Below are 23373 nucleotides of genomic sequence, written 5' to 3' on the forward strand. Positions count from 1 at the left end.
GCTGGTCTCAAACTCCTAGACTCAAGCCATCTGCCCTCCTTGGCCTCCCAAAGTGCTGGAATCACAGGCGTGAGCCACCACACCCAGCACAATTTTTTTTCTTACGCTACCATCATGGTGCCCTAAGTGGTTCTAAGTGTTCTACTCCTTTTCAGGCTGTTTCATTGGTTTACAGAAGAGTTCCTGGAGAGGAGGGGGAGCTGGAGATCCAGCTGGTGTGAACACAGCTTTATGATATCGAAGGACCAGAAAGAAGCCTGAGGGGAGTGTGGGCAGCAGGCCAAGTTAGCCCAGCCGGATTTCCACCCAGCCTTGCCATATATCATTCCATTCTTGTTCCCACCCTGTGCAGTGCCTGTCAACTTGAGTGTTGAGTCCCTTTGGGATCTGATGGGTGGATGGACATCTGTCCTCTGGGGCAGCTTCCTCCTGTGACTGTTACTTCCACTCTTGCTTCTTTTATTTATTTATTTTTTTTTTTGAGATGGAGTTTCACTCTTGCTGCCCAGGCTAGAGTGCAATGGTGTGATCTCAGCTCACTGTAGCCGCCACCTCCTGAGTTCAAGCAATTATCCTGCCTCAGCCTTCCAAGTAGCTGGGATTACAGGCGCCCGCCACCACGCCTGGCTACTTTTTTGTATTTTTAGTAGAAACGGGATTTCACCATGTTGGCCAGGCTGGCTTTGAACTCCTGACCTCAGATGATCCATCTGCTTTGGCTTCCCGAAGTGCTGGGATTACAGGCGTGAGTTTCTTGCTTCTTGAGTGAGGCTTCATCCCTGGTGTTTTGGATATGTTTACAAACGTCTCATCCACAGCTGGTCCTTCTTTTCTCTATCAGGGGTTTCTGCCTTGTCGTTTATAGGTGTCTCAGGAGGGAAGGGAGACAAAGATCTGTGCTCAGCGTACCCCCTTGAACCTTAAAGTCTGATGCAGAATTTTATTCCTTCATAAGGTTATACCAGAAAATGCAATTATTTAAGCTGTTTAAATGAATTGCCTCCCCTCCCCTGTCTGCCTCCAGGTTGCGCCAGTAGAGGAAATGCTTTTTCATGGCTTCAGTGCAGAGCACTATTTTCCGGTTTCCCATTTCACCATGATCTCACGTACACCCTGTCCTCAAGATAAATCGGAAACAATCAACCCAAAAACATGTGAGTAAGAGAGATGCCATCTTTTATAATTTGGGGCTTTTAACATTGCAGAACCACAGGGTGGGTATGGAGGCGGACAGATGGACCTCAGGGAGACCACATACATAAGAAAGAATGTGTTCTTGTTTTATTTTTAAGAGACATGTCCTTTATTTCACTGATTTATCTTTAAGGTTAAAAATGTAATAAAGATAATAAGTAACAAAAAGCATACTTTGATTTTACATTAAATAAAAAGTAGGAAAAGAGAACAGTAAACACATGTAGCCGGCTGTGATGGCTCATGCCTGTAATATCAGCACTTTGAGAGACCAAGGCAGGAGGATTGCTTGAGCCCAGGGAGACCCCATCTCTACATCTCTACAAAAAATTTAAAAAAAAAATTATCACTGGATGCAGTGGCTCATGCCTATAATCCCAGCACTTTGGGAGGCTGAGGCAGGAGGATCACTTGAGGTCAGGAATTCGATACCAGCCTGGCCAACATGGTGAAACCCTGTCTCTACTAAAAATACAAAAATTAGCTGGGCATGGTGGCAGGAGAATCTCTTGAACCTGGGAGGCGGAGGTTGCAGTGAGCTAAGATCGTGCCACTGCACTCCAGCCTGGGCAACAGACTAAGACTCCATCACAAAAAAAAAAAAAAAAAAAATTATCCAGGCATGGTGGTGCACACTGATAACCCTAGCTACTTGGGAGGCTGAGGCAGGAGAATCGCTTGCACTCGGGAAGCGGAGGTTGCAGTGAGCTGAGATCGCACCACTGCGTTCCAGCCTGGGTGACAGAGCGAGAAAAAAAAAAAAATTAGCTGGGTGTGGTGGCAGGTACTTGCAGTCTCAGCTATTTGGGAGGCTAAGGTGGGAAGATTGCTTGAGCCTGAGAGGTCCAGGATGCAGTGAGCTATGATTGTGCCACTGCACTCCAGCCTGGGCGACAGAGTGAGACTCTGTCTCAAAAAAAAAAAAAAAAAGTAAAAAGTAGAAGAAAACATCATCATGCTTCCCTGCTTTGTGTGTGGAAGCAGGGGTGTATACTGCAGATCTGAGTCGTAGTTCCTTGGGCCCTCCCTGGTACCAGACCCTCTCCTACTGGTTTGTTCTGTGCCTTCTGCATGCCTTGGGCCTTGGCTAACGACTGCCTTTATTACTGTGACCCTAAGCCCTTACCCATTATACTCTGACTCCCAATTCCTCTCTGCTCCCATTTCCTACCACACTCCCCTTGTTTTTGTCCCTCCGGCCACACTGGGCCCCTTGCTATTCCTGCTTTGGGGCCATAACAAGCTGGTGGACCTGGCCTTATGTAGGATACTTCCTACATCTTCACCAGACTATAGAGGCTCAGAGGGACATTTTAAGTTACTTTAGTTATACAGCCCAGCTCTGTAGTCTGGAGCAAAATATAACATCTAAGATCATGTGATTGAATGGACAGTACCTTTTTCTGGCTCAAAAGTAAACATTTCTCCCAGATTGGCTCGGGCCACTGGGGATTTGCAGGGGGAATTTTTGTTTGTTTGTTTTAGGTTCTCCCAAAGAATATTTGGAAACTTTCATCTTTCCTGTTCTGCTTCCCGGAATGGCTAGCCTGCTTCACCAAGCGAAGAAAGAAAAATGTTTTGAGGTCAGTTGTTTGGCAGGATTTCTTTATTTTGAGATTCTCAATCATTCATTATTATCAGATGATAGCTCATTATCTTGGTACCATCAGGTTGTTCTCCAGATGACCCCTTCGGGAGGGAAAGCCTGTGTTTGGGGTCACTTACCCAGTTCCAGCCACACCATCTAGTTGTGCACATACATGCGCTGCCATCTGTCTGGCCACTTGGACTCCGGAGAGCTTTTCCGCCTTGCTTGGCCTCCTGCCTGCCCTTCTCCTGTGCAGTTTGGCATCCACCAGGTTTCTTGGGTCTTCAGCTTCTGTTTATTACATGCACTGATTAAAGCTCTCCTTGGCCGGGCACGGTGGCCCATGCCTATAATCCCAGCACTTTGGGAAGCTGAGGTGGGAGGATCACTTGATGCCAGGAGCTCAAGACCACTGGGCAACATAGTGAGACCCCCATCTCTAAAAAAAATTTTTTTTTAAATTAGCTAGGTGTGGTGGCGCATACCTGTAGCCTCAGCTACTCAAGAGGCTGAGGCAGGAAGGCCCCTTGAGGCCCAAAGTTTGAGGTTGCAGTGATCCATGATCACGTCACTGCACTCCAGCCTGGGCAATAGCAAGACCCTCAACTCAAAAAAAAAATCCCACAGAACTCTGCTTACTTCTTACTTGGCTCTAGATTGATTGTTCCCCCTGGCATCTCTCTACTCCATGCCAACTGTCATGAATGTAAACTGCTCGCAGAGAGTCTTGGAACACAGTAAGTGCTCAGTAAATAACATTAACATCACACTGCAGAGAATCAGCTTCTCTGCAGGGAAGTTTTAGTTTAGTATCTTTTTTCTTTTTGAGACAGGGTCTTGCTCTGTTTTCAGGCTGGGGTGCAGTGGCGTAATCATGGCACACTGCAGCCTCAACCTCCAGGGCTCAGTTGATCCTCCCACCTCAGCTTCCTGAGCAGCTGGGACTACGGGTATGCACCACCACGCCTGACTGATTGATTGATTGATTGATTGATTGTAGATACTGGGCAAAAACTCAGTGAACTCGGTAGAAACCGAGTTCCGATGCTGGCCTACACCCACGCGGATACCCTTAGAGGCTCCCTCTTTTCCGTAGTTCACGGGATACTTTGGGTGTATGTGTTCCCTGCACAGTTTTGAATTCTAGAATTTTGGATGATCCAGATGAAGAGAGTAAAATTACAACATTTATTATTGACCAGGCACTCGCTCTGTGCCAGGCACTTTGCTGAGTGCTGCATCTTCCATTATTGCAGTTGCTCTCCCCAGCCATGTGAGCTTCCTTCTATTATTATTATCTGCACTCTGCAGAGGAGAAAATGGAGGGACACAGAGGCCTGAAATGTGATCAAGGGTGAATGGCAGAGTTAGGACTCAAATCCAGATTAAATGATTCAAAATGATACTAAAGGCCGGGCACAGTGGCTCATGCCCATAATCCCAGCACTTTGGGAGGCCAAGGCAGAAGGATTGTCTGAGCCCAGGAGTTCGAGACCAGCCTGGGCAACAAAGTGAGACCCGGTATTTACAAAAAAAAAAAAAAAAAGAAAAAGAAAATTAGCCAGGCATGGTGGTGCATACCTGTAGTCCCAGCTGCTCATGGGGCTGAGATGGGAGGATCAACTGAGCCCTGGAAGTTGAGGCTGCAGTGTGCCATGATCATGCCACTGCACCCCAGCCTGGAAACAGAGCAAGACCCTGTCTCCAAAAGAAAAAAAAGATACTAAAAAAGTCGGCAGTAATTACAGTGTAAACCCCAATGAGGTTGACACATCCTAGGGTCTATAAAATTATCCATAGTTAATGATATCACCCAACTAGTTGCCCTTCAGCACAGGGTCCCCATCTGAGAACTGCCTACTGCCGTGCTGGTACTTCTATATACTGAGGAAATAAGGTTTTCCCATGTTCTAGCAAATACCCGATGTTTCCTCAGCAATGCCTTCACAGTATCCTGCCCCACTTGCCTCTTAATCACTCCATATTATACCTCCCCCTAATTGCCTGCCACTTAATTTGCTCAGCATAACATTCCTTTGACAGGCGTCACCATGACAGTTGTGTCTTTACTTGAGGCAGAAATGGATGATGAGACATTGATCAGAATTTGGGTAGCACGCTTAGGAAGGAAGAATTTGGGATACACCTCTGGGCCGTGGTTCACCATTTGACAACAGTAGATCCACATAACGAAGTCACTAGCCCTCAGCCTAGCTTTCAAGGCTCTGCCTAGTTCATGTGTTCATTGGTTCCTTCCTTCCTTTCTCCCTCCGTCTCTCCCCCGCAGTGCTCCCCTTCCCGATGGTACCCTCCACCCAAGCAGAACCACTCGAAGTTCGCTGCACCAACCCCCACCTCACGGCCTCTGTGCATCTGCTTCTGCTTTTTTTAGAAAAAAAATCCCTGAGCTCCTCTTCTCTGCATATTTAACTTCTACTTGTTTTTCCAAACTCAGCTCCATAACTTCTCTCTGAAGCTTCCAGTTCCCTGCTGGGCTCAAACTAGAAGTAATTGATCCCAACTCTCAGATTTCAGAGTATTTCATCTGTTCCTCATTTTATGGCAAATTAAGACATCCTTAATTAAGACATTCTTAGCCCACATATACTTAATTTTATGCATGTCTGTCTCCCCCTGTATTTTAAGTTCCTTGGGGACAGATTCTCTGATTTATTTTTATATCTTTAGTCAATGCTACCCAATGCCTAGCACATGGTGAACATAGAGTTGGCCCTTGATAAATATTAAATAAGTGAATGCATGATTATACACCAGGGAATGTCACTATTACTATGTCTTTGACCAAAACCCAGCTTCCTTCTATCTGGGAAGGCTGTTCTATTGGACTCATCCCTGGAGAAATTCCCTGGAGGGGTGAGGAAAGAAGATATGCTTCTATTTCATGAGTTTAGTTGATGGAGGAGAACAGTGAGGGGCAAATGACACAGTCTGACCCCCCCCACCTCATATATTAATTATGCAAATAATTAGTAAATTGGGCCTTGATTTATAGCGCAGCAGTTAAGAGCAACACTTGAGTCAAAGTTACCTGATTTTGAAGTCCACCTCCATCCCAGCTGGCAGCATAGCCCAGGACAAGTCATTTCATCTTTCTGAGCCATTATCACTTCCTTCCATGTAAAATGAGGCTGATCATAGCACCTGCTCATGGGATTATTATGCCGATGAAATGAGGTAGCTCATGTAAAGTACTTAGGCCAGTCCCTGGAACCTAGGAAGAACTCAATACATGTTAACTTATTTATCTCAGTGATACAGTGGTACAGGTACTTCCCAGATATTGTGGGTTACACCTGCTACCTGAGTGGTGTCACTCTTGTTCCTTCGCCATCTAGAGTCCTTATTCAGGACTTGGTCCCAGTTCCCAGAAAAACCATCCAATTCCACAGTGATCTCGCAAGGAGGGTTTGTTTTATGGGTTCTCTCATGGGAAGGTGGGGAAGAGGGTTGTGTTGGCACTTATCAAGCAATACTTCGTTAGTCCTCTCTGGAAGCATTTCTCACCCTCTGGGAACCCCCTCCCCATGCTCCCTCTGCAGACCCCTTTTGGATCCTGAACAATTCAGCTGTGGCTCTCAGCTTGCATGGCCCACTCAGCAAGGCCAAGCCCAGCATGCAGCTTTCCCTCCTCTCTTAAATGCAATTCAGCTATCATGTAGCCCTTGCAGGTGGAACTGGGGGTGGGGGCTTCACATCTCTCACCCCAACAAAGACACAGTTGTAAGGTTTTCCTCATATTGCTTTGTCAGAAATCCTAGTTTTGACACATAGGCCTGGTGAATTCAAATCTGGGGACCTCAGTCCCCACTCTTTCTCCTGATGTGCTACTACAGTCATGGTTGTCATATTGAACCTGGGAAGACCATAATGATCAGATCCCTTATTTTCACTAACAAGAGAGGGCACTCTGCTGATGAGAACTGTAAACAAAAAAGCTGGTAAAATAAAGTCAATGATTCAGGTACTGATGATTAAATCCAGGTAATTGCTCTCCTGTCACCTGTGGTTTGAGTACTGGTATGATAATCATCAGAAATTATATCAAAAGTCAGAGAAGACCCAGTGTGGTGGCTCATGCCTATAATCCCAGCACCTTGGGAGGCTGAGGCGTGTGGATCACTGGAGCTTAGGAGTTTGAGACCACCCTGGGTAACATGCCAAAACCCCATCTCTACAAAAAATACGAAAATTAGCTGGGCATGGTGGCACATGCCTGTGGTTCCAGTTACTTGGGAGGCTGAGGTGGGAGAATCACTTGAACCCTGGAAGTTGAGTCTGCAGTGAACCATGATGGCGCCACTGCACTCCAGCTTGGTTGACAGAGTGAGACCCTGTCTCAAAAAAAAAAAGAGGAGCCCTCTCATTGATTTATTGCCCGTTGTGCGTCAGCACTGGCATCCTATGCACCATCTTGTTTCACCCTTACAATAACCTTCTGAACCAGATCTTCTTTTTCATCACCTCCCTTTTACCAAGGATGGCCCTGGGACACAGAGAAGTTGAGCATTACTCAAGGTCACCTAGTAAGCAACAGACAGCACACATCTCCAACCAAGGCCCAGATGATCCTGAAGCCTGGGTTTCCATCCCTCCTAGTAAATGGGAGTTGGAGGCTGTCCTCAAAATAGCTCCCAGAGATACTGATTTTTTTTCATTCATAGCTATTTTCTGAAGAACAGACTGCTTACTTGCCTTCAGTTATCAAATTTAAACGGCTTCTAATTCTTATCTGTTTTTTCATTTGCTCACTTGGCTTTTCCTGACAATTTAATTCTTGTCCACTACTCATAACTGACCTTCCCCCATCATCTGTGTTTTGACTACTGCTATGATCATCATCAGAAATTGTATCAAATTGTGGTGTGATACAGTTGGTAGGTATCCCGTGGTGTTAAACAGGTGCAAGGTGTGGCTGAATGGAAGGGGAGTGAGGCTGGGTTGAAGAGTGGTCCCAGAGCAGACCTTCAGCCTGGCCACACCATTGTCAGATGGCTTTGTCCCTCTGCCTTCTGTTCTGCTGCTAAGTGAGGAAGAGCACCTCACGAGTCACATTTCAGCAATTGTATCACTTTTTCCTATCTTGCTGTTGACCAAAGTATATTGAGTGCACTGTGTCTTTTTATTCGATTGAACAAAGGATGGAATATAATGATCAAACAATGAAATGAGCACAGTGGAATAATCTTTGTTTTCATACATGTAAAGAATATCTGGCCGGGCACGGTGGGTCATGCCTGTAATGCCAGCCCTTTGGGAGGCTGAGGCATGTGGATCATGCAGTCAGGAGTTTGAGACCAGCCTGGCCAACATGGTGAAACCCCATCTCTACTAAAAATACAAAAATTAGCCGGGCGTGGTGGCAGGTGCCTGAGTCCCAGCTACTCGGGAGGCTGAGGCAGGAGAATGGCTTGAATCCGAGAGGCAGAGGTTGCAGTGAGCCAAGATCGTGCCACTGCACTCCAGCCTGGGCAACAGAGCGAGACTCCATCTAAAAAAAAAAAAAAAAAGAATATCTACAAGCAGGATGAAGCAGGATGAGTCGCCCATGTTTGGTTCTGTTCAACAAACATTCATTAAGCCCTGCTGTGTGCTGATCATGAGGCCAGACCCCAGGGCACACTGAGGGGACAAGAAGACATGGTCCTGTCCTAGAGGAGCCATAATGATGAACTAAAGTTGTTTTTATTTTTCTTCCCCTTGTGTCTGTTTTTTTCACTCCTCTGAAATAAGAATGAATAAGGAGAAATGGCTACAGTGGATCTGTAGCTGGGGATTCATTTCTAGACCTTGGTGCATGTATATTCCATTGTGCAACCTTTATTCTAATTTACTTGGCCATTATTCTTCTAATTTATACCCTTTCAGAGGGCACAAAAATCAGCTAAAAGGGCAGTAATTAAGATTTTACATGAAGGTTGCATATCTAATATTTGACCATAAATAATTTTGTAACAAGGGGGCTAGAAACAGTTTCCAGCCTGTAAGCAGTGATAAAATGCTTTGAAAGAACCAGATAAATTTCTAATTATATTAGAGATTAATGAGGCATCCTTGTGCCAACTCATATTTCATTGTTGACATCCTACAGATGAGCTACTCCTGAGACTAAATGAAAACAGTCTAGATGTCAGATGCTCCAGGGTGCTTGAACAGAGCATTAAAGTTTAAATTGTATAATGAATGATAAAGCAATGTAGAAAATGTGGGTTGTTAAAACTGTTCATATGTGGCCAGGCATGGTGGTTCATGCCTGTAATCCCACCACTTAGAGAGGCCGAGGCGGGAGGATTGCTTGAACCCAGGAGTTCGAGACCAGCCTGGGCAACATGGTGAAATCCCGTCTCTACTAAAAATACCAAAATTAGCCAGGTGTGGTTGCAGGCACCTGTAATTTCAGCTACTTGGGAGGCTGAGTCAGGAGACTTGCTTGAACCTGGGAGGCAGAGCTTGCAGTGAGCCAAGATCTCATCACTGCAGTCCAACCTGGGTGACAGAGTGAGACTGAGTCTCAAAAACAACAAAAACAACAACAAACTTGTTCACTTATAAGAGTGGAGAAGCTTGAAAGGCAGGCACACGGGAGTTCAAAATCCTGCTAGACTGCTTCCTTGCAGCATGGCCCTAAGTAATCCGTGAGCCTCAGTTTCCTCAACTATTGAAAGGACAGCAGACCTGCTCCTGTCATTGGGCGGAAGAGGGGAAGTAATGAATGATACTTCCAGACCCAAGGAATGTTAACTTCCTCCTCCTCTGCTTCTCACGCTTTGCCAGGAAGTTCAGTATTTTGAATGCTACAAATACGCAAGGTGGGTAAATTACTATTAACTTTCTTCATTTCCTGACTTAGGGTTTTTTAATTAAATCGGATTCCCTCCATGTTCCCCCGTCCCCGGTCATCTAGTCTTTTGTGGGTTATTTTCGAAGGCTTAAAAATGACATTAGTACCATTTCAACATTTGTCAGACCCAAGTGGAACTCCCCTTATCCTGATCTGCACAACAGATTCACATTTTCTTGATTCAGCTGTTCCTCACATCCTGTCATTGGGAATAGATGCTTAAACTGAATGATGACTGGCCTCCAACCAAAATTACATAACTGGGGCATTTTTATCTGTCACCCACAACTGAACTTGCATCCAATTGGCTCTTACACAGCAGCGTAATTCATTGTTTATTGATGCCATTCAAATTATATCTTGAAATAACATTTATATTAAGTTGCTCAAAAATACTTGCTGATCTGCGTTTTGCCCTTAAACTGCTGATGTCTAGTTATTTATACTTGACTTCATTATTTTTCTGTTTTTTCTTTCTATGACATGGCCCCCATAGTGCCTGGAACATAGTAGGAACTCAATGAGTATTTATTGGATAAATGAATGAATATGGATTCTCAAAAGATGGGGCTGGCCAGATGCAGTGGCTCATGCCTATAATCCCAGCACTTTGGGAGGCCGAGGCGGGTAGATCACTTGAGGTCAGGAGTTCAAGGCCACCCTGGCCAACATGGCAAAACCCTGTCTCTACTAAGAATACAAAAAAATTAGTTGGGCATGGTGGCACGTGCCTGTAATTCCAGCTACTCGGGAGGCTGAGGCAGGAGAATCGCTTGAACCCAGGTTGCAAAGGTTGCAGTGAGCTGAGATCACGCCACTGCCCTCCAGCCTGGGTGGCAGAGTGAGATTCTGTCTCAAATAAATAAATAAATAAATAAAAGTCAGGGCCTACTTTTAAGATCATAATTAAGCTACATGAGCACTCTGGAGGTCTGTGACCTTTATTCAGTTTGTTGTAGTTATTACACACAGGAGGTAATTTATTAACTATACCTGCAGTGACTGGATCTACTGCCTCTGGAGGGAGGTAAACAATGGGGAGACCGCCTAAGTCTGCTAGGCTCCCTGGAGCTGGAGCTGGGCAAGGAGCAAATCCCCTCAAATTGAAGGAGCCTCATTCACAGACAATGGAGAGCCAGAGAGTAGAGCAAGAGGCTAGGATTCAAGAATAGTAGTTGTCAGCACTTTTTGAGCCTTGCTTTGTGCCAGATGTCATTCTAAGCACTTTACCTGCAGTCACTCATTTAATCCTCCCAACAATCTTTGGAGGTGGATGCTATTATCATCATCTTATGGATCAGGGCTGTACAGCACCAGGGCTAACCAAGAAGCTTAAGTTCACAGCTAGAAAGTGGCAGAGCCAAGACTCAAACCAAGAATTGTTCCAGAGTCTAAGAGTTTGACCACTGCTCCACTCTGATGGTCAGTCACACAGCTTGCTGAAAGCAGAGGTCAGATTCTGACATGAAAGATGGGTCTGGAGGCTGTGGAGAAAAGGAGTGAGAAGTTAGCAAGCCTTTTATTTAGGTTGTCCTGCCAGTACCATGAAACTCCAAGGAAGACCAGGGGGAACAGAGCAGACAGAGAAACAGCAAGAGCTGGCACCTAATTACTATGCCATAGAGCATTTGGCCAATTACACACACATCTATTGTGTGGTGTGTGGTGTGTGTGGGTGTGTGTATAGGTGTAGGTGTGTCTGCACACATGAATTCAGGCATTGTGTGGTACATGGTTCAGCAATTCCATGATTCCAGCCTCTGGAATCAGGCAGACCCTTTCAACCCAGGCCTGTTCCCCAAAAGCTATGCAAGCTTGATTATTTTGATTTTGAGTCACTCATCTTGTGATTCTTTTATATATATCATTTTAAATACTATGAATTTAATATAGTTTCTAAACAAACAGTTGTTCCTGCTTAGATTATTTTTTCTTCTTTTCTCTAAGCACACAAATAGTATATTTTTTCATTTTAAAAATTATTTTCATTTTTATTTTTAGAGATGGGGTCTCACTGTGTTGCCCAGGCTGGTCTCAAACTCCTGAGCTCAAGTGGTCCTCCTGCCTTGGTTTCCCAAAGTCCTGGGATTACAGGGATAAGCCAGTGCACCTGGCCCATCTTAGATATTTAACTCTATTTTAAATGCTCAATGTAAAATTCAGCATATTTAATAGGCAGGTATTTCCCTAATCCTTAATTTTTGGTGGAGATTACAATTGGGAGAATAAACCTTAAGCACATGATTTCCATGAATTATCTCAGCCTGAGAGTTAGATCAAGACCTCCACATTTCATGATACGAATTTAACAAGTGAAATAGATTTATTTAACCCTTTCTCAAAGGGTCATTTTCAATCATGTAAAAAAAGTAATTGAGATTTTTTAAGTGGCATCTGTATGGCATTAGAGTGACAATCTACAAATAAAGCCAATGGCCTTCTAGTTTTGCTGTGAAATTAGCTGGGTGCTAGCAGTATTTTATATTGTGTTAAACAAATATACTCTGTGAAAGGTAAATAACGGAAAATGATTGCTTTGTACAAATAGCTGGTGGAAGTACATCTGTGGCCAACAATAGATACTGTACAGACATTTCCTGTGTGTATAGCGATTTATGCAGCCATGTATACAACAAGCCAAAGGTAACAGAATGCAGATAATAGTATCTAAATTCGTTGGCCAATAAGTGAAGAATCACATGGAAGATGGGAAAGAGATGAAAGTTTTGACCCTTTGCTCTCCTATATTTAATATTCCAATATTTTGGGTATATTAAAAAATTTCAAAAGAAGCACGAGTTACCTTTGTAATCAGGAAAAATAAAAGTTAATGATAAGTAACATTTTCAAGTCCTCATATTTGACCCTGCTGCATCGTCTAGGTTATTTTCTTTCTCTCTTTCCTTTTCACTGACACACTCAGTGAATCACCTCACCTACATCTTTTTACCATTCATTCTTTCTTTAATGTGGCACTCTGGCATTTAAATGCTCACTATGTCTGGTACAACTCAAGTTTACTAATGACCCAGTACTGCCAAATTCTGTGACCTATTCCAGGGACAAAAAGGAGGCCAGTATGTTTGGGGCAGAGTGAGCAAAAGAGAGAGGAGGTGAGTTTGACAGGGTCAGCCCCGCAGCGGCCGTAACATCACATGGGCCAGTAAACAAAGTGGGTTTTATTTTAAAAGCAGTTGGAAGTAATTAGAGCCGTGACTCAACCCTACTGGGCCCAGTGCTCCCTTGTCATAGCATTGTATAGTGTGCTTCTTGCTATCCTGAAATGAAATGCTTAGATGATATAATATAACCTATTTATCAGTTACCTGATTGCTGTGTTGTACAGTAAACTACCTGAAAACTTCATGGCTTAAAATAACGATTTATTATTTTTCATGACTCTGGGCCGACTGGGCAGTTCTGGTGCTCTCTCCTGGGGTCACTCATGTGACTGCGTTCAGCTGGTAACTGGGCTGGGTTGGAAGGTCCAATTCTATCTCACTCATGTGTCTGGGGCCCTGGTGCTGCCTGCTAGCTGGGGCACTTCGGTTCTCCTTCATGTGGCCTCTCATCCTCCAGTGGGCCAGCCCAGCTCCTTTACAGCGTGGTGGTCTCCAGCAGCTTTCCAAGAGGGTAAAAGCAAAAGTGCAAAGCCAAGACCTGGAACATGACTTCCACCAAGTTCTCTACTAAAAATACTAAGAATTAGCTAGGCCTGGTGGCATGTGCCTGTAATCCCAGCTGCTCGGGAGGCTGAGGCATGAGAATCACTTGAACCCAGGAGGCAGGGTTGCAGTGAGCAGAGATCCAGCTTGGGGGACAGAGTGAGACTATGTCTCAAAAAAAAAAAAAAAAAAAAGAGTCTAGCTTCATTTCTTTTTTTTTTTCTTTTAATTTTTGTGGGTACGTCGTAGATATATATATTTATTGGGTGCATGAGATGTTTTGCTTCAGGCATGCAATGCGAAATATCATGGAGAATGGGGTTTCCATCCCCTAAGTAACTGTGTTACAAACAATCCAATTACATAGACTTTTTTACTTATTTTAAAATGTACACTTAAGTTTTTATTGACTGTAGTTACCCTGTTTTGCTATCAAATAGTAGGTCTTAGTTGTTGCCATTAACCATCCCCAACCTGACATTCATTCCTACTGTGTCTCATGGTGATAAGGCTGTGGGTGCTGAAAACATTTCCCATTGTGACTCTTAGAATTGCCGTCAGATCTAGTTTGTAAGCCATGCAAGAAAATCTTATTATAACTTTATAGTCAAGTTTCTTTTTTATTTTTAACAAAAGAGCATTGATCACTTCATTTCCCAAACTTGGCTACGAGTTGCTTTTGTTTCTAAAAATCAAAGTGATCCTCAAAGGACAAGGCTTTAAAAAGAAAGTCAGCAGGCTCTGACCTGAGGGTGACCCAATGGTTCTTTAACAAAGTGAAGGGCAGTGGCTTTGTGGCAGGATTTTCCTCCTCTGGTCTGAAGCTTTGTCCGCCGGCTTTGAGGGGCATGGCTTTATGCCAGATGGCTGTGGTAGCAGTCTTGACTAACTGCCAGATAGGGGGAACATTATCATTTGGCCATAAATTGCATTTCGATTATTATGTACTTTATCAGTTAACTTTTTTGCCATATAATAAACTACCTCAAAAGTTAGTGGCTTAAAATTACAAGCATTGGTCAGGCATCGTGGCTCATGGCTGTAATCCCAGCAATTTAAGAGGCCAAGGCAGAAGGATCATTGAGCTCAGGAGTTCAAGACCAGCTTGGGCAACATAGCAAGACCCCTATCTCTGCCAGCAAAAAATCATAACCATTTATTTAGCTCACTTTTTTGCAAGTTAGCAACTTGGGCTAGATTTAGCTGGGAGTTTCTTCTGGCCTTGGCTGGGTTCATTCATGTGTCTTTGGCAGCTACTGGATAGGCTAGATGCTGGCTGGTCTAGGATGGCCTCAGCTGGGATGAGCTGTTCCATGTGGTCTCTCATCCTCTATCAGATTAACCCTAGGTTGTTCATAGGGCAGCCAGGCAGGGTTGCTTCAATTCAATTAGACACGTCAAGGCCTCTTGAGCCTGAGGCTTGGAACTGACATAGTGTCACTTTCACACGTTAGATTGGCCAAAGCAAGTCACAAGGCCAGCCCAGATCCGAAGAGTTAGGAAATAGATTCCTTTTTTTTTTTTTTAAGTAAATGTGTGGGGTTTAAATACAATTTCATTACATGCATAGATTGCACAGTGGCAAAGTCAGAGCTTTAGGGTATCACCCAAATAACACACATTGTACCCAATAAGTAGTTTGTCATCATCACCCTCCTCCCACCCCTTCACCCTTCCGAGTCTTCACTGTCTGTCATTCCACTCTATCCATCTGTGTATAGACAGGTTTTAGCACCCACTTATGAGTAAGAACATGCGATATTTGACTTTCTGTGTCTGGCTTGTTTCACTTAAGATAATGCCCCCCAGTTCCATCCATGTTGCTGCAAAATACATGAGTTTGTTCCCTTTTATAGATTCCAATTCTTGATGGGAAGAGCTGTAAAGTCACACTGCAAAGTGCAGATACAGGAAGGGTGGAGAATGGTGGCCCTTTTTGCAACTTACCGTATACACTGCGTTAGAAATAATATGGACCGGGTCACAGATGGCAGCTGTGACTGTTAGCTCCAGCCTGGTGACTTCAGGAAAGATTAAATGAGCTAATGTGTGAAGGGGCTTGTTCTGGAGTTCAACCATCTGGGCTCAAATTCTTTTTTTTTTTTTTTTTTTTGAGACAGTGTCTTACTCTGTTGCCCAGGCTGGAGTGCAGTGGTGTTATCGTGGCTCACTGCAACCTCCACCTCCCAGGTTCAAGCAATTCTGGTGCCTCAGCCTCCCGAATAGCTGGGATTACAGGTGTGTGCCACCAGTCCCAGCTAATTTTTATGTTTTCAATAGAGACAGGGTTTCACCATGTTGGCCAGGCCAGTCTGAAACTTCTGACTTTAGGTGATCCGCCCACCTCTGCCTCCCAAAGTGCTGGAATTACAGGCATGAGACACCGAACCCAGCTAAATTCTTATCCTTCCATTTACTAGTAAGTGACTTTGGGCAAGGTATTTAGCATCTCTGTGCCCCCATTTTCTGATCTGTAAAATATGAATTGTATGTAGTACATCGTAGTAATATGTTCTTGTTGTGAGGATAAATGAGTTAAGCAAAACTTAAGAGTGTCTGGCATATAGACAGCACTCAATACACATTAAATGTTGTTAATCCTATTAGCGTTTCTCTTGGAAAAGAGCCAACCTGTAAAGGAGTGCTATTCCCCATGGCCTCTTCTGGTTGACCAATTGTTACATGAGTGAATGGAGGGTGTAATTCTCTTACTGCATTCTGGACATTACAGATAGATGGCCAAGGATGGACTCTCCTTGTCATTCTGAAAATACTAGTACCTTTTAAAATGATAGGTATTAGTAAAAATCAAAACATAACTCTTAGAAATAATGATGAGCTTAGAATCTGAGAATGTAATATAAAGACACCTCCTAGAATTAAGCAACTGCTAGAATCACATCCTGTAATGGAAAAAAACAAAACAAAACAAAACAAAAAACCAGCCCTGCAAGTATTTCAGCCTTCTCTTGAGAATTTATGTCTAAAGAAGGAAGCCATTTTTTAAAGAATGAAAATGAGGTTTTTTTGAAAGAATGTATCTTAAAGTAAATCATTGACTCTCTTGGTTGTTTAGAGAACTGCATTTCTCCTGCTACATTTTAGGAACAGGAAAAGCCAGGTCATAAACTAGTCCCAGATCCAAAAGATGTTTCAACTGTTAACCCCTTAGAATCATAAAGGGTTATCCAGGAAATAGAGAAGAGAGACGAAACAGAGCTTTCTTAAAATCAGACTTCAGTGTCAGAAATCAAGTACTATGGATGTTTCCATGATACCATAGGAAAGATCATCTGTCAGTTATTCATAACGTTCCGAAGCTGAACGCCTTCCAACTACACAGGTCAGCTACCTGTTTTTGTAAATGAAATTTCACTGGAACACAGCTATGCCCGTTCCTCTACCTATTATCTGTAATAGCTTTTGCACTACAGTGGCAGAGTTGAATATTTGTGACACGAGCCTATGTTTACTATCTGACCCTTTAAGAAAAAGTTTGACTGGGCATGGTGGCTCACATATATAGCCTCAGGACTTTAGGAGGCTGAGGCAAGAGCATCGCCTGAGCCCAGGAATTTAAGACCAGCCTTGGGCAACATGGTGAAACCCCGTCTCTACAAAAATTAAATTTACACAATTTGCTGGGCACCATGGTGTGCGCCTGTAGTCCCAGGTACTCAGAAGGCTGAGGTGGGAGAATCCATTGAGCTTGGGAGGTCGAGGCTGCAGTGAGCTATGATTGCAGCACTGCACTCCAGCCTGGGCAACAGGTGAAATTCTGTTTCAAAAAGGAAAAAAAAAAAAGAAAAAGAAAAAGTGTGCCAATTCATGCTTTGAAGTCCTGGAACTATCCATATTTTTATAGTCATAGCTGTTATGTGGGAGGCAGTCTAGTATAAAGGAAGCTGAATGATTAAGTAGTTATTGTTGTGTGGGAGGCACTACAGTGTAAGGGAAGCTTAATGATTTAGAATAGAATTTGGAGCCATTTTCACCTGAGAATAGGGCCTCATTCCACCTCTTTGTAGATGCGTGACCCCAGACCTTGCTAGTATTGTGACCTTGTAATTTTAATATTTCTAAGCCTCAGTCTCTTCCTCTGTAAAATGTAAATAACAATAGTAATTGCTTCAGATAAGGGAGTTTATGATTTTTTTTTTCTTTTGAGATGGAGTGTCGCGCCGTGGCCCAGGCTGGAGTGCAGTGGCGTGATCCTGGCTTACTGCAACCTCTGCCTCCCTGGTTCAAGGGATTCTCCTGCCTCAGCCTCCCAAGTAGCTAGGACTACAGGCGTGTGCCACCGTGCCTGGCTGATTTTAATATTTTTAGTAGAGACGGGGTTTCACCATGTTGGCCAGGCTAGTCTTGAACTCCTGATCTCAAGTGATCTGTCCACCTTGGCCTCCCAAAGTGCTGGGATTACAGGAGTGAACCATTGCGCCTGGCCTAAGTTAATGAGAATTTTGTGTTTTTTTGTTTTGTTTGTTTTTGTTTTTTTTTGAGATGGAGTCTTGCTCTGTCACCCAGGCTGGAGTGCAGTGGCATGATCTCGGTTCGCTGCAACCTCCAACTCCCGGATTCAAGCAACTCTCCTATCTCAGCCTCCCCAGTAGCTGGGGCTATAGGTGTGTGCCACCATGCCCGGCTAATTTTTGTGTTTTTAGTAGAGACGGGGTTTCACCATGTTGGCCAGGCTGGTCTCGAACTCCTGACCTCAAGTGATCCATCCAACTTGGCCTCCCAAAGTGCCGGGATTACAGACGTGAGCCACCGCACCCAGCCGAGAATTTAATAAGATAATGCATTTAAAGCATTCAGTTAAGTGCCTGGCACAGCTACAATGAAAGATAACAATTGAATAACAACAAAATTAAATTGGAAAAAGTGGAAGTCTGAAAATGAGGACAGTCTGCGAGGAAGAGGTGGACTGGGACTGGCCATTTAGGGGGAGTTGAATGGTAGGGGTGGTGTCAGAAATGTGGAGGGCTGTGGCAGGTACGGTGATGAGGGTGGGGCTGCTGGAGTTAGGTGGGCTTGAATCTCTCCTTCAGCTCTGCTAGCTCTGTGCCCCTAGGAAGTCTCCTGAAATGCTGTGAGCCTCAGTTTTCTTATCTATTAAGTGGGGAAGTGATAATCATAGTACCCACCTCACCAGGGCTGTGGGGAAGAATAAATGAGATGGGGTGTGTCAGGCACAGTAATGGGAGCCATCGTTATTAAGAATTGTGCTTGGCCAAGCACAGTAGTTCACACCCGTTATCCCAGCACTTTGGCAGGCCTGCGTAGGTGGGTCACTTGAGACCAGGAATTGGAGACCAGCCTGGGCAACCCCATCTCTACAAAAAATAGAAATTAGCCAGGCAGTGCCATGTGCCTATAGTCCCAGCACTCGGGAGGCTGAGGTGAGAGGATTGCTTGAGCCCAAGAGTTTGAGGCTGCAGTGAGCTATGATCACACCACTGCACTCCAGCTTGGGTGACAGAGCGAGACCCTATCTTTAAAAAAGATAAATAAATAAAAATAAATTTTAAAATTATGTTTGAAGGAGGGAGGCAAATGTGAGCAAGTGCAAAGCCAGAGGAAAGAGAGTTGGGGTCCAGGTAGGCAATGAGAGAAAGAATAAATTCTGTTTTAGGCAGGAGTAGCGAGATGGATCAGGACAGGTGTGTCATCAAGCCTCTGCCAGTAGCTTCCTTTAACAAAGAGCTTGGCATGCCTTCTCCAAGCAGAGAGCAGGCCTTGAAGGGAGTGCTCCAGATCCCTTGGTTTCTCGGAGGCATGGCTTTGAAGCTAGGTGTGCAAATAATTTTGATCCTGAGATCAAAATCTGTGGGAGTAGAGTTTGTACAAAGACTTGCCTTCTCCTTATTGAATCTGCATTGCCATTGACCTTTCTGATCTTCCGATTATAGTTATAGCTGCCTTCCTGAGTGCCCCTGGGCTGGCCACACTCTACAAGAGTTGGAAGGGGAAAAGGTTGTAAGGCAGGAAATCAACTGTGCAATTGTTAAAATAGAACTTCAACAGTGTTTTTAGACTGAAGTCTAGTTAAAAGGCCACAGTACCATTCCTGCTCTACCGTGACCTGCATTGCATTCCACTGGAACAAATTAAGTCTGAGATGTGTAAATAGCATTATGAAGATTAAACCTTACAGTTAGGTTGATATTCTTAAGGAATTCCATGACATTCAGCCCTGCCTTTGGATTAGCTTAATTGGAACACGAGCGATCAGAATTTAATTAGAATTTAATTGAACTGCTATATTAAACAGAGCTGGCTCAGTGGCTACATTGCAAACTTCACTTGGAAATTCTTTCTGATGCATCTCTGAAAATATTTTGAACACTCAGAGTAAAGTTAATCATTTTTACTGTAAGCATTTTTTGATAAAAGGCTTATATTGTTAGCAGTAAAAAGTAGTGGAAACTCAAATGAGTTTGTTTCAGCTGGGGAGTATTAAGTATGCAGAGCTAAGATTTCCTTATTTGCTGGAGTTAACTCTTTGAGGGCAGGTCCTGAACATGGCAGAAAACCCCATTCAAACTGTCCTAAGTAGAAAGGGATTGTTTTCTTTCTTTCTTTATATATTACTTATTTATTTTTTGAGATAGGGTCTCACTCTGCTGCCCAGGCTGGAGTCAGATCATAGCTCACTGCAGCCTCAATCTACCCCAGCTCTAACGATCCTCCCACCTCAGCCTCCTGAGTAGCTGGGACTATAGGCATACATGCCACCATGCCTGGCTAGTTTTTGTATTTTTTGTAGAGATGGGGCTTTGCCATGTTGGCCAGGCTGGTCTCGAATTTCTCAGCTCAAATGATCCACTTGCCTCAGCCTCCCAAAGTGTTGCGATTACAGGTATGAGCCATCGTGCCCGGACCTTTTAAAAAATGTAGACAAGAGGCCCACAGGGAGATCTTCCAGCACAGCTTGATCTGGTGACCCAGATGATGTCTCCATGACTGTTCTCTCTCTTCTTCTCTTGACTGCTTCGTCTGGGTTGGCTCCACCCTCAAATGAGCCCTCATTTTGTGGCACCAGCCTATGTCCTATAAGGCTCAAGTGTAGCAGAGAGAGAGAGAGAGAGAGAGTCTCTCCCAGAGTTTCTCTCTAATTGAGCCAACTCGGGTCAATTGTCTGAGTAATTTGGGCTGGGCATAGTGTCTCATGCCTGTAATCCCAGACATTTCGAGATGCCAAGGCAGAAGAATTGCTTGAACCCAGGAGACCAGCCTGGGCAACATAGCAAAACCCCTATCTCTACAAAAAAAAAAAAAAATTTTTGAAAATTACCTGAGCATTACAGGTGGCATGTGCCTGTAGTCCTAGCTACTCAGGAAGCTGAGGCAGGAAGATCCCTTGAGCCTAGGAATTCAAGGCTGCAGTGAACTATGATCATGCCATTACACTCCAGCCTAGGTGACAGAGCAAGACCTTGTCTCTAAAAATAAAATAAATAAATAAATAAACATACCTGCTTTGGAATAGGTCCTTGGAACTAGGGGAATTGTGATTTAGTGGCCTGTTAGGCATCCAAAGCCCATAGTTTTTGCTGGGGAAAGATGGATTCCTGAAAGGAACTCAGGGTGCTGTTACCAAAATAAGATGGAAGGGATACTGAGCACGTATCTTGGTTAGGGTGCATTATGTTGCAACTAGCAGGAAACTGACTTAAATAATACAGAGGATTTATTGGCTCAGGAAACTAGAAGGCCCCAAGGTAGAGAGGGAAGGCTTCAGGGTTGGTTTGATTCAGGAACTCTGTGATATAACTGAGGAGGACTTGGTTCTCTCCTGCCTCTCTGCTTGGCCTCTAGCAGAGTCAGCTTTATCCCGGGCTGGCTTCCTTTGGATTGGCAAAACAGCTGCGACCACTGCCTCGGCTTTGTATCCACCTACTACATCAAACAGAAGGGGGACAACAAACTCTTTCAGGAAAGCAAAGGAAATTAACTTCCCAGAAGCTCCAGCACACCTCCCCTGACATCTCATCACTCTGAAGTGGGTCACATGCCCATTCCTGATTCAGTGCATCCCTTTGGCCAGGATAAATGTGGACCAGATTGGCTCAGGTCTAGGTGGGGTGAGGTGGGATTATCTCACCTGCCTTATCAGGGTTCACACCTGGAGCTGAGACGGAGTTAACCATCTGCACCTACTGTCACTTACTACCCAGGTCAGGAGCTGCAGGGTGGCAGTTTGGGGGCATTTAATAACCACACTGGGGCCGTGCCTTACTCATTTTCTTTATCTCTTGTGTTTAACACAGGGCGTGCACACAGTAAGTAAATGTTTGTTGAACAGAGTCAGACTGGAACAATGCACTTTGCTTAATTTGGAAAGAAATCAGTTTTGTGCATGAGTAAAACGATGGCTGAAAATAAATTTTATGTCAGCTTTAAATATGGATTAAATGTGGACTCTGGGTAGAGGCCATAAGACCGCCTCTTCTCCTATCTTACTCCATGTAACGTAAAATTTTCCCTTTCGGCTTTTGGTTGCTTATCAAATTCCATTACAGTGAAGACTATTGTAGACCATAGTTGGTATCAGGAAACTGTTTCTAACTCCTGACAAGTTCTTTGATGATCTCACGACACAAAAATTTGCTACTACGAATAATTCTGTAAAATTACAGAATTTTTTTCTCTTTCTTTTTTTTTTCTTTTTACATTCCTTGCCCATCTCATAGTCATTCATTGTAGTTATTTTCCTTCTTATAATTAAAAACCTGAATATCCTTTTAAAAGTACAAGGGCTTTGGTCAGTGAGGGAAGAAACTCTATTTCCTGGTCTTGACCAATAAGGAAAATTAGTAATACCATCAGCTTTTGTTCGAAAAAATTTCTAAGGAGTGGAAACAATAGATTCTGGCAGGAAAGGTGTGGTAGAATTATTTTAGCATGATCCCTTTTCAGCCAAAACACTTTCTGAAATGACCCTGTGGCCTGGGCTGGAGGTCTTGGTCAATGTTATTAGTGCATTTTTTGAACTTCTTTAGAGAAGTATTATTTTTCTCTAATGAAATGCCTTCTCAATGGAAAAAAAAATGTGAATACCTGTTTGCAGTTTGCTATAAATATTTTGGCATCTGGTTATAGGCCAAGTGTATGCTTATTTCTGGGATCATAGTTACGGATGGTTTCATCGTGTATGGGAATTATCGGGTATCTGGAAATGTATTGTGGAAAATACGTGGGAAAGGAGGCTGTGATGTTCTATGTGTATGCCACATCCACAGTCCTTAACTGCTGTTCTTTGTCCCTATTTTATCCATGTCTCCATCACCCTGAATACAAGTGATTGAACCAGGAATATGGATCAGGCCCTTGGGCAGCCACTCTTAGATGGCAAATGACTGTGAAATGGTCCACCCAACAGAGATGGTCTCTCTTGGGAGTATCCAACTAGTCCTATCAGATTCTCCCATCTGGGGAGGTGGGATGTCACACTGCAGAGAGAACAGGCAGACTGTAGCGTAGGGAGAGGGGGACACCTAGAGACAACCTTAAAGGCAGAGAAAGGAGGACAGAGAATCAATTAGGAGAGAACAGCAGAGAAAGCAACAGCAAGCAATGAAAGGAGCCATGGCCAAGGAGCTGAGCTCCACATAACTAGAACCGGAACCAGAACCGTTGTTGGATGACTGTAGCCTCACCTGTGCCCTGAACAGCCATAAGCAATGGTCCAGGTCTTCCTGAGACCTGGCTCTGCCACCAGCCAGAGAGATTCTCATTTTCCCCACCATTTCTTTTACCTTTACTGTGTCACTCCCTGTGGTAGAAGAGATTATACTTCAGAAATATTTTTGGCCTCTCCCTAATGGAGGTTTGACCATGTGACTGACTGCTTTGGTCAGCAAAATGGATGGGCATGACATATATCATTTCCAAACACATGCTGAAAGAGTCAAAACAGGCCAAGCCCAGTGGCTCACACCTGTAATGCCAGCACTTTGGGAGGCCGAGGCTGGAGGATCACTAGAGCTCAGGAGTTCAAGACCAGCCCAAGCAACATAGCAAGACCTTGTCTTTACTAAAATTCAAAAAAATTAGCTGGGCCT

General features: G+C 44.0%; 1 protein-coding gene across 8 annotated transcripts in view; it reads left to right on the forward strand.

Moving 5' to 3' along the window:
- IQCK (IQ motif containing K) overlaps positions 1 to 23373 on the forward strand; it is a 140197-nt gene that overhangs the window by 14403 nt on the left and 102421 nt on the right. For 7 of the 8 annotated variants that reach the window (NR_130967.3, NM_001394805.1, NM_153208.3 and 4 more), the window contains 2 exons: positions 1025 to 1154; positions 2680 to 2777. Coding sequence is in view for 6 of the 8 variants with exons in the window: in NM_153208.3 (NP_694940.1) it covers positions 1025 to 1154; positions 2680 to 2777 (228 nt within the window). In the remaining 2 variants the exon portion in view is untranslated. The remainder of the gene's footprint in view (positions 1 to 1024; positions 1155 to 2679; positions 2778 to 23373) is intronic. The other variant, NR_130968.3, reaches the window with a different exon arrangement.

The sequence above is a fragment of the Homo sapiens genome, chromosome 16 (genome assembly GCF_000001405.40).
Source record: "Homo sapiens chromosome 16, GRCh38.p14 Primary Assembly".
NCBI classification, from domain to species: Eukaryota; Metazoa; Chordata; class Mammalia; order Primates; family Hominidae; genus Homo; species Homo sapiens.